The 12640-nt window shown below is 38.3% G+C and overlaps 1 protein-coding gene across 5 annotated transcripts in view; it reads left to right on the plus strand.

Annotated features, from left to right (window-relative positions):
• Positions 1–12640, plus strand: part of GAB1 (GRB2 associated binding protein 1) — a 137690-nt gene that overhangs the window by 17322 nt on the left and 107728 nt on the right. The gene's annotated exons all lie outside the window — the stretch shown is intronic.

Raw genomic sequence — 12640 nt, forward strand, 5'->3', positions numbered from 1 at the left:
TTTTCTTGCTTTCTTTTGTTTTTAAAATCGTACACTTGGTATATATCTTGGTGTATCTCCTTTTTATGAGCCTCTGAGTATTCCTAACTTTTTTTCAGATTTTTTTTTCTTCCTTGTTATTTATTCTAACTCATATACTGTTTAACATAGTGATGGGTGTTTCCAATGAATATTTATATTTTCTGAAAACAAGTGTAAATGCTCTTAGAGAGAAGCATAACATTAAATAGCTATCCAAATGCAACATTGAGAAATCACTTATAAATTTTCAGTGGGGGTATTTTAACTTACAGTTTTCCATTTTGAGTTTAAAGTATAGAGAAAAAAAGGGTTACAAAATATTAGGTAAGCAGATTTATTGCCCTTTGCCTAAGTTACTAAAGGGAAGTGTTTCTTTTAAAAAAAACTTAGTGTAGAAGATTTATCATTAAACTATAATATACATATTTGACCTTGTAATATTTTTGTTTACTTATATTTGAATAGAAAATGTGCATAGATTCACTTAAAATGTGTAGTACATTGTTATTCATTATTTCTTTGTTTTAAGTTATAATTTTTAATACTCAGAGATTTCCAAATCTTTAATATCTACCTGCTTATGCCAGTGATTCTTAAATAACTAAAAAATACTCTTTTATAGTAGCTTTTATGCACAATACATTTTTTAGCAAATGTGCTTTGCCCCAAGTTGGAGAATTAGTTATATGTTGAGAAGCCCATGCTTTTACTAAGTGAAATTGAAACATAGATACTGAAATATTTTTCATCCTTCAACTAAGTTCTAGCATTGAAAACATCTGTTTGTTTTCAAACAGGATCTGTTGTTTTTCTAAACCATGTACTTCCAAAGCAGAACAGATTTTCTTCGAGATTTTTATTGAAATACCTCAAGGAGAAGAAAATGACTCAAAGAGGATAAAGGCTAATTTTTCTTAATGAAAGAAGAAAAACATTTTTTACTCTTTCTATTCTTAATTTAGGCCTAGGAAATACCCTGAGTCCAAGGCCAGCTGGTTTCAGCATGCAGAGATAAGACTAGAACACAGCTTCCTGATGCCCAGACCAGAGCTGTTCTCATTACCATTTCTATATCCACCTCCATCTTTAGTGGGTTGCTGTGATTTCCAGCATTCAAACCCTTGCACATTTCCAGAGCCTTTTAGCTGTCTCGTGGAGCAGTTCATCCCAATTGCTGCCTTTTTAATTTTTATTTTCAATTGTGTTTAAAACAAAACAACAACAACAACAACACATAACATAAACTTGACCATCTTAATCATTTTTAAGTGCACGGCACAGTAGGTTAAGTATTCAGATTGTTGTGCCAGCCCAATCTCTCCTGCTTCACCGTTCAATCTCAGTAGCATTGGAAACAACAGAAGGGTCTTTATGCAAATACCTTTCAGGAAGGCGTGCGCCTCACCTGTGTTTGCTCCTTCACAGTAGTAGGAAGTTAATTATGTGGGATTTGCTCACCTGATCCACACAGCTGATCCTACTGTAGTGCACATTTGGAAATCCCACACCCCTTTCTTCCCCTGAGGAAAAAATTCTTTCCTCATCCTAGATTCAGTGCTCTGTTTAATCTTGAGCATATGAGAATGAGTCACCATGGGTAAGAGTGTAATCTCATTTATACCTTTCTTCCAACCCTCCTTTAATTTTTTAAGTTTATGATACTGGATCCTGCTTTCCTACATAAGGGCTGGTGATTTGGAGACTAATTTTGGGAGTGCGAGGTGTTGAGATTTTTTTTGGGAACCAGTGCTTTCTGTTCTGCTGAACATGAAGCTGCATGGCCTAAGTTCTGAAATTCAGGCTATGTATGGAATGTCTGTGTGGATGAAGAAACAAGCCAATGCCTTTTTTTGGGTCGGGGCCGGGGGGAGACTGGGAGAAAGATGAATGAAAATGTTAAGATAGTCTGATTTTGTGGGGGAAATATTCAAATTTTGAGAATTTGTGCAAATCAAAGACAAGCAGTTAGTTGCTTTGTGATTTTATTTTACCCACAAAAGAAATACTTGATATTGTGCTGAAGATGTTGTTGAATAGGTATATTAACTCAGATAAAATAACTGAGTTCTACTTTTGATTCCAGTTATCCCTATCTATGCAATGTGTAAATGCTATTTCCATTTCTTCATTTGTGGAATGAAAAACATTTCACTGGAAAATTGTTTTTAAAAAAGTACTTGTAAAGTACATTGGAATCTTTAGGATACTTTGAACATGGTGCTTAAAGAATGTAAATGGTTAATGCTTGCTTTCATACCCATAGAGGAATATGGGAGTGGGAGTCACTTGAATATCAAAATGAAACTCTGTATCCATTTTTAAATACAGTATGCATTTGAGCAAAGCCCTTCTCCCTAACTGCTTATTTTAAATTGGCAGTTGCTCAGCCAACAGTCAGTAATCTCAGTTAGCAAGTGTTTGGCACGCCTGTTTTAACCTGCACAGGTTCAGTTCACACAAAGAAAGGGAGGGTTGGGTTATGTGATGCAAACACCACGTTAGCCTCATTAACATATTTTGAATAACTGTATTTGAATATTTGCCAGCTAAGCTAGGCCATCTGAAGGCCTGCCAAACAAAATGGGGGTTTCTGCGAGGAGTGCAGAGATTTGAGCTTGTAAACTTTTTACTTTTTCTTCTTGAGGGGAAAGATTTTAGATGATGCTATTTAGAATACTTTCCATACCCTCTCAAAAGAACAACCTTTTTTGTGTGTGTTTTAATTCTGCAGAAATTTTGGACTTTCTCTTTCTACCACCTTTTTATATATCTTTAAAAGAGGTACCTTAGGACATGTCTCTGAAATACCTTTAGGTAATCTATCCTGGGTGGGTTTGAGTTTCTACTCAGCCTGTTTTTTTGTCTTTGCAGAATTTAGTCCTGAAGCTCTTTCTGTGAGTCTAGCTGGAGAACCTCTTCTGCAAACTTAATGTGTGAATACCAGTGGTTGGAACAGAACAGATAGGATAAACTAGGGTATCTGTAAACTCCTACCTAGTGGATGCCCAGATCATAAAGATGCCAGCCTGGTTCAACTCTATATAGTATAGACATTGTTTTTACAAGCCTTCAGTTTTGTGGCCTGACATCTGTATCTGTTCAGAAATACTTTTTTGACTTTGACACCTGTCTGGCTGAAACCACAACTTTGGACTCTAAAACTGGGCAAGGGAGGAGTCCATTGGAACCAGGGGTTATCAGATATTTTAATATACAGGGTTTTAAGGGTGAGAACATGAGGCAGCATACACTTAGCTCTCTAGTTTTCATTCTGGGGGACAGGTGAGGGGAGTATCAAAATCACCAGGGAACTCTTTGAAAATCATTCACCTTGATTATTTTTTTCCTGTTTACCTGTTGTGAAGGGTGGGTAGGGATGACAGTGTGATGAGGTGGCATTTGAATCTAGAATCTGCGGAAGCTGTGGGTGCTGACCACAGTGTGGTAGTTTCCATAGTTTGGGCCAATTTGCAACCTGTCTTGTACTTACCCTTTGGAATAGAAAGATACAGTCTCATGATGCCAACTCTCACCCCTCCTTAAGTGTGTATTTAGTAGTATTTCCAGGAAATGATTCCTTCTACCCTAAGGGCTTTTTCCTTTCCTTTATCTCTTCAAAGATGGTTCTTAAGACTTAGTTTTAAATCATATATATATATATATGAATTATCAGAAAGAGGGAAGAATAAATTTGAGCATTCCTATTTTTTTATACATGTTTTGTAAATCTCTCCTTTAGTGGAAGGGAAAGAGGATGCAACTATGCTGAGAAATGTGTCTGTTATATAAATTGCTATTTTAAAAAACCACTTTTAAAAACTAAGAACCTAGGAAAGAACTCCGGTACGTTAAACCAAGCCCTAAATTTTCAACAGACATTTTAATGATTATATATTTTATACGTTGTGTGTACGTGTGTGTATGCCTTAAAGTTTTTAGATTGAAGTTATTAAATTTCACCTGTCTTTTGTTGCTCTTAAATGATTTACATGTAATTTTGTCAGTGATTCTTACATGATCACCATCTACTCATAATTAATTGTATAGACACAATTTTAAGTTTCATAGCTTTTTTTCCAGTTGAATTGTAACAGCCTGTTTAAAAGACAAATTTATAGGCGATTGTAATCTTCATGAAGCAATGTGAGTTGATGAATACCTTTGAATGTTGTTTCGGTATTTTTCTTTTTTATTATAAAATGTTAAATATTTCATTTGTAGAGCTTCTCTCATGTCAATTTGTTGTATTTGACACAATAGGAATACTCATGCAGTGTTACCAGTTTCGTGATATGCGTTCAACATCTCTGAAGGTGGTGAATATAAAATCTGTTTTTCAAACAAGTACACACATGAAACTAAAACAATTTATTCAAGTCCTAAAACAACGTTAGTGAAACTTCAGTTCTGCCACTGTGCCCACATTTAAGCTGACAGCATGTGTGTGTGAGAAGAAGATACACATTACTGATAATCTCTTTAGAATGCATTAATATTTTCAGGCCCAAATATGAGTATTCAGTAGGTTCATCAGATTAAAAAAGCTAAATGAAATTTAAATATTGACTTGTATGTTTCCTTTAATTAATTTTGGTGACTTACTAATTGGTATTTGTGGGGATACGTAGAATTTTTTGAATTGGTGTTTGTATTCTCCATGTTTTAGTTATAAAGCACTATGAAGAGAAAGTGAATGAAGAGGCTGCCTTCAGGTGTAGTAAGGTTTAACTTCTATCCCGGTTCCAACTTGTCCTGCTGTCAGCTTGCTCCTTAGCTCCCTGGCTTATTTACATATTGTATAATCCAGACTGGCTTGTCCCGTTTGGTAGGTTGGTTATAAACTGCAGAGCTAAGTAAATGTGTGATAACATTTTAAATGGTATGAGAAGTTAAACAGTACTTAAGGAGTGATGTCGTAAAGAACCCCAGCTGTCAGGTGCCCCAGGGTTGGCCTCCTTTGGGGCCATTTCCGTTTTCTCTGAGTAACAGGAAATAAATGTGAAACTATAGTAAATTCTGGTCAGATGATGACCCCCTCATCCAGATGAGATGTAGCATGCTGGATCTGATACTGAAAATGTTTGATACTGAAAGTAGATTATTAACTATTTCCATTAATGAGTTTTGTACACAGGCAGAACAAATCAACAAAAAACCCACGGAAGCATTTTTATCTGTCTTTACCCAATATGAAAACAGTAAAGGCTAGACAAGTCCTGTTCTCCTCCTCCCTCGGTGTATAATGAGAGAACATTTCCATGTGCTTTGTGATGACCATTTCTAGTGGCTGCATGATACTGTGTCCAGTTGTAGGATTATTGGGTTTCCCAAAACATCACTGCTCTTCAGTGTTTAACATTATGAAAAGTTGTGCCTTATCCCCTGTGTGAGTGCTCTAAGCTCTCTGTAAGGCTGTGTGCCCTGGTCATTGTTGAGTATGTCCTTTTCATATTCATTTATAATCAGGCCAGCCAAAGATTGGAATCTAATGGTGGATGTCAAAGTCTTTCCTAGAGTACCTCTTCCTTCCCTACTGGGTCTCTCTGAGATTTTCAGGGGTTGCCAGTGGCAAAGGGTGTTTGTTAACCCCTAAAGTGATGGTGATGGTTTCTCCCTATTGTGTTATACTGTGCATTTGCTCCAATTTCAGGGTTCCTTGGTTCAAAGGAACGCTGGGGAACCCTAACTTTGAAGATCTCAATTTGACAGCAACCTGCCTTTTTCCATGAGTCACTGTTAGTTCAAAATACCCAAAAAGAGATTCTCATTTCTGTAGGTTGGGCAAGTTGCAGCCTGCTTGATTTTTTAGTGTCTTTGGTTTATAATGATTTTAGAGAGTAGAAGAGGAAATGGCTGTTTATTGTATGTTGCATAAAACTATATGGCCTTGTGCAAATGATCTAACTTTATATGAATCCTGGATTGAAGACAGATGTTTCTTTTGTATAAGTAGATTCACCACTCTGTGTCCTACTCTGAAATAATGAGGGGGAGAATAATCCCATATATATCACATCAATTTTAAAAAACCGGAATTCAAGAACTGGGAAATTTTTCAGTTTACATTCTCCTGATTCTGATTTTGTTTCTTACGTTATTTTTCTATTTTAAATTTGCTTTTATTATTTGAGATAAAAAATACTTTGTTTCCATTCTAAGTTTTGTTTTTTGAACTAAAGGTTAAAAAACCTGCATTCATGGAATTGTTGCCTTTTCAGTGGTTAACTGTTAGATTTTATAATCAGAAGATTGAGATCTTTAAAGGACAAAATGGAAAATAAAATTAGGTTTGGGGTAAGGAATCCTACTTGGACACTACAAAAATAGAAGGAAAAAAAGGTGAATGAATAATTGGCAAAACAAACTCTTTTTCCTGTAAGTTCCCTTTTCCCAAATTCTTGCCATCATGCTAAAAAAAGTTGTCTCGTGGGTTGATTTTTCTCAGAATCCTGATGCTTGTTGTTAATAAGAATTTTTTTCATGTGCCAAAGTTTTGTTTTTCGTGTGACTTCTGCGGCAATTTTGGTCTTACTGAAAATATTTTTTTAAGTACCATGGTAAAAGTTACTGGTAATAAGCCAAAAGGAGAATTTAAGGTGAACTTCTATACAATTTACTTTTATTGACTAGGGGAAATCAAATGCATTGCCCAAGGTAATTGAAGTCAGATTATTGTAGGAGAAATATCAATTCTAATTAAAAACAAAGTGTGAGTGCTTATTTCCAGTTTCAAAACTTACATTTTTTAATTTCTACCTCATCCTTTCCCCAACAAGACATATTTTTGCTATCAGGCTAACATAAAGTGCTGCTACTGACTGAGCCAGCCTAATGGAATGGCATCACTGTTTCTGTTGGCATAGTTAAGCAGGGGGTTAAAAATTCAAGTTTTTGGGAAGGAGTTTTTTTTTTTGGAGGGATTTCTTTTGCAATACGCAACCTTCAGACATTCCAGAAAGTAACTGTGGATGCATTTTAGGGTATAGCCAGTGTCCTTTGCATCTTTCAGTCTGATAGGCAAAATCATATTTTAGATTACTATTAAAACAGCATGCTGATTTATTCATCTTGTCCTTCCTTTTAAGAAATATATTTCAGAAATGCTAGTAACATCTTGCTCAGCAGCTCACTCTGACACCCTGACTTACTCTTACTGGGGAGATCTCACTGTTTTGTTTGCTCTGCAGATCTTATAGTGGCCTTTGACCAAAGGCAATGAAATGTTACCTGACTTGCAGTATCAGTCAGGATTCTCAGTTACAAGCAATAGACATCTCTGACTAATTTAATCATAAAAGGAGTTTATTAAGAATATTAGGTAGCCACAGTTTCTCTGGAAAAGCTGAGAACTCACCTTGGCAGCTTATCAGCCAGGATCAATGATGCTGAACTGATCTGGGGAATATATTGCCACTGCCTCCTGGCACATGATCATAGGCCCTGCATCTTGCACCACCAGCACAGTCACACGAGACCCCAAATGCCACCACCGCTGCCTTTGGGAACTGCATCACTGCCCCTACCTCTGGCCCAGGTTTCTGTACGGTTCTTACTATTTGTAACTGCTTGAGATTCTAAATCTGGGATGGATTATTTGGTGGAGCCAGTGTACCTAGTAATGTGACTGCAGTCTGATTGCAGGGGTGGTTGAAAAAGCAGTTACTTGGAGTTTTCAGCTTTTGAAGTGTTGTGTGTGGTTTTTTTTTGTTTTTTGTTTTTTTTAAGAAACATGATCTTGTTATGTTGCTCAGGCTGGTCTTGAACTCCTGGGCTCAAGCAATCCCCCCACCTTGGCCTCCCAAGGTGCTGGGATTACAGGTGTGAGCCACCACCCCTGGCCTGTAGTGTTAATTGTTAATGATTTTCCAAACATAGGAAGGAAAGTTCAGATGCTGGGTAACCTAAAAGAATCACATAAGTCCACCCTACATGGCATACTGGAGGTGGAGGTGGAAGGATAGAAAAATAAGGACAACAGCTACCTTCCTACATTACTTAAGATGCTAATAATAGTTATGAGAAAAATGTTATAACAGAACCCATAGTTTCTCAGTATTTTCGTAATAGCAGCATCCATATGTTACCAGAAAGGGGTCCTGAGCCAGACCCCAAGAGACGGGCTCTTAGATCTCCTGCAAGAAAGAATTCGAGACAAATCTGTGGAGTAAAGTGAAAGCAAGTTTATTAAGAAAGTAAAGGAATAAAGAATGGCTACTCCATAGAGCAGCCCGAGGGCTGCTGGTTGGCTATTTTTATGCTTATTACATGCTAAACAAGGGGCGGATTATTCATGAGTTTTCCAGGAAAGGGATGGGCAATTCCCAGAACTGACAGTTTCTCCCCCTTTTAAAAAGACCCTAAGGGGTAACTCCTGATGTTGCCATGGCATTTGTAAACTGTCATGGCGCTGATGGGAGTGTCTCTTAGCATGCTAATGCATTATAATTGGTGTATAATGAGCAGTGAGGATGACCAGAGCTCACTTTCATAACCGTCTTGGTTTTGGTGGGTTTTGGCCAGCCTTTTCTGTGCATCCTGTTTTGTCAACAAGGTCTTTGTGACAGTGTATCTTGTGCCCACCTCCTATCTCATCCTGTGACTAAGAATGCCTAACTTCCTGGCAGGGCAGCCCAGTAGGTCTCAGCCTTATTTTACCCAGCCCCATTCAAGATGGAGTCACTCTGGTTCAAATGCCTCTGACACATAGGCATAATACTCTGTTGAACAGTTGCTGTGTGCTTGATAGTTCTTTGTTTTATAATTTTATCTCTGATTCATACAGCAGCCTTGAAAAGTAGACATTATTGTCCCCATTTTGTAAAGGAACTGATGCTCAGAGTAACTTCCCAAAATCACACAGTGCATATGGCAGTGCTGAAATTCAAACCCGCATGTATCTGCTTCAACACCTCTCTTCCTGCTATCATACCAGCATTCCTCCTCATAGAAATTTTGTGAAAAAGCACAGATAACCTCCTTGATTTAAACTAGAAATTTTTGAGAGTCCTGCATTGTTTCTCTTAATAATCCACTACTTATCATTTATCATGAGTTGTGAGATCCTGCTAGGTTCAGGAGAGTGACTGGGACCAGAGCTACAGACTCAGGAGTCATAAGACCTTAAGAGCTCCTGGGTGCTGTGGGCATTGGTGAGGTGGTCCTGGGAAGAACTTGCAGAGTAAGAGAAGTAGTACTATAGGACCTAATGAAACATGAGCTGGAGGTGGGTTAGAAAGAGACAGAGTGGTTTTTATTTGGTAGAAGGAAAACCTGAATAGGAACCTGTTAGGGGAGCCCAAGAGCATAGTTGAAGAAGGAAAGTGTGGTTGGGAGCCAGGAACCAAAATAGGATAAGGTGGAAAATAAGCCATTGGAGTGGATGGCCAAGCGGGAAGTTATGCTCGCCTCTGTAGTTTGAAATCAAATTTGCAGAATCTTTACCTTCTCTGTGAGTATGCCATGAGGTGCGGTGATAGAACCCCTGCACTGTTTTAGGTTCATATACTCAGTGGACACATGCAATTTTGTGTTTGAATTTTTAGTTTCTTGTTTTTTAATGCTGCCTTTGCTCTGGTGGTCCTTGGGGCCACACCCAGGCAGTGAGCAGCCTAGGTGGACTAGGATGTTCCCCACATCCCACCCTAGAGTTACATCTGTTGCTTTAGAGGCCATCATCCCTCGAGAATGACTTAAATTCGTGCTGGCCGTGGTGGCTCAGGCCTGTAATCCTAGCACTTTGGGAGGCTGAGTTGGGCGGACAGGAGTTAAAGACCAGTGTGGCCAACAGGGTGAAACCCCATCTCTACTAAAAATACAAAAATTAGCCGGGCATGGTGGCAGGCACCTGTAATCCCAGCTGCTTGGGAGGCTGAGGCAGGAGAATCGCTTGAACCCGGGAATCAGAGGTTGCGGTGAGCTGAGACCACACCATTGCACTCCAGCCTGGGCTACAAGAGGGAAACTTCGTCTCCAAAAAAAAAAAAAAAAAGAATGACTTAGATTCATTCTCTCTGTCTGTTATTTTGTATCTGCCCACATTGATGTTAATCTGTCACTTTCCTTCCTACGTGCATGGGCTTGTGAAATCTCCTGACCATTTATGCTATTTGTTTGTCTTTTTGCAAATCAAAAGAGCCTAATGTCACCTTAAAGCATCATGGTAATTAAACTTAAGAAAGGATGAGTGATTACAGTTTATTTAATTCCTCCCTCTTTAGAGAACTTCTAGAGTACACAGGCATAGACATACAAATTTAGTTTCAAGTAAGAATGAGAGTATACCTGAGTAGTTTACATAAAATTATGGGGAAAACTGGATATGTGTTGGAGCAGACAATGTTTGTGGGGCTAGGTGTCCAGAGTCAAGTCTGTCTCGGATGGGCCTTCAGCAGAACGGCTTTTTCCTGACATAGGTGCAGCCTCATCCTATGCGTGCTCATCACAAGAGCATGTTTCTCCTTTGTTCTGGGGGATGGGAATTTCCTTCCTTTGATTCCTTTCTCTTCACTCCTACAGCCCCAGTGTTTGCTTGTTCACTCCCCGCGTCCCACATCAATGCCAGTCAACTCTGGCCTGCACTAGTTGGCATCGAGATCTGTGAAAAGGAGTAGAAGCAGGGGAGACAAAAATTAAAGCTCTCCCTGCATCTACTTTTTTTTTTTTTTTTTTTTTTTTTTGGAGACGGAGTCTCACTCTGTCACCCAGGCTGGAGTGCAGTGGCGCTATCTCGGGTCACTGCAAGCTCCGCCTCCCGGGTTCATGCCATTCTCCTGCCTCAGCCTCCCGAGTAGCTGGGACTACAGGCGCCCGCCACCACGCCTGGCTAATTTTTTGTATTTTTAGTAGAGACGGGGTTTCACCGTGTTAGCCAAGATGGTCTCGATCTCCTGACCTTGTGATCCGCCCGCCTCTGCCTCCCAAAGTGCTGAGATTACAGGCGTGAGCCATCGCGCCCGGCCCTGCATCTACTTTTTAGTTATTGGTTCCTCATCCTCTCTACCCCATTTGTGAAGCAGATGCAGGTAGAGGAAGAAGGAGGGGGAAATGATACCTAACATTACTAATATTCTTTTCTCTTCATCATACCCCTACTCTCCATTCACCCTCATCCCCATTCTCTTTTCTAATCCTTCAGTATCTTTCTTCCCTATTAGACTGTAAGATCCAGAAGGATAAAAGCCATGTCAATGTTGGTCTCTAATGTGCCCCATCAATGTCTAGTACAAGACTTGACATATAGAAGACACCAAGATGTGCTTGCTTGGTGAATGAGTGAGGCATGAAAGGGGGATTGGGGGAGTACACTGTTTTTCTCTATACCCCTCTTGACAACTTTACCCTGTTCTGATTTTTCACCTGTGTATCCCCCAATCTCTGATCTTGAAGGGGCCTGCCTCCTGGCCAGCAGCAAGAACATGGTTCCCACAATGGATGCTGAACACATTTTCCCATAGAGCATTTTTCTACATGGTGGTTAGTGTCTGTTGGAACTATACTGTATACTTAAGGGAGCTTTCGTGGCTGGCCATAGTACCCATAATGTACAACATTGTTTTTATGGGAAAATGCATTGAGTTCAAATGAATCTACTTACATGCAGACTTTTGGATTAAAACTTTTCCGTTAGTTGGGGACTACCATTACATGTTCTCCTGTCAGGCTTTTATTCATTACTAATACATAAATGAACAATAAGCCATTTTTTTGGAGAAAGACCAGAGGCAGAAGTCTTTCTTTCTGAGATTATAAATCATTACATTAAAATGAATTTCATTCATCCAACAAACATTGCTAGTTTATTTCAAATGTATTTATAGGGTGCCTGGCACATGTAGGGCTTTGTACAAAGGAATCATACGTGAATAAAATAGGGACCCTATCCTGGTGAGGTCATAGTCAGATTTCTGTTTAAATCGAAATTAGCCTCATAGTCCACAAGGTCACTTCCAGCTCTGAAATTCAGTAATTCTGTGATTTTTATGCTGTATTCATTTGCGTATTTCCTTGTTGTATGTGGTTCTGTTATCAAATTTATCTTTAGATAATAGAGAAAGCATATTTACATTCATTAATAACAATTAAGAGCAGTAACCCCACCATTATAGCTTTTAAATAATTCTAAATTTGTTGTTATTTATAAAAATGAAAAACCCAGGAACAAACCATTTAATTCTAGCTTTTTATTATAAAAAGAGTAGAGCCACATACATTATGAAATTGACATAAAAATAGAATGACAGAGACTTGACTTTAAAAGTTTATTCCATAAGGATAATATATATGGGTGTTGGGATTGCAAATATTTTTGTGTTTTTTCTAAATGTATTTCTGTAGTTTTCAAAGTTTCTATATTAGGTATTCCCTCACTATCAGTAAACACTGTTATTGTTATTCCCTCACTATCACCTCATATACATACATACATACGCAGGCACACTCCTTCCTTGTTATTGCTGAATAGTATCTCATTGTGTGGATATATCACACTTTATCCAAAATGGACTACACTAAATATTATTATTTTGAGACATGGTCTGGCTCTATCGTCCAGGCTAGAAATTTTCAATTTGAAAATTTTCAATTTGAAAAAATTGATTTTCAATTCAATTTTTGAATTGAA

Source organism: Homo sapiens, chromosome 4 (genome assembly GCF_000001405.40).
Source record: "Homo sapiens chromosome 4, GRCh38.p14 Primary Assembly".
Lineage (NCBI taxonomy): Eukaryota > Metazoa > Chordata > Mammalia > Primates > Hominidae > Homo > Homo sapiens.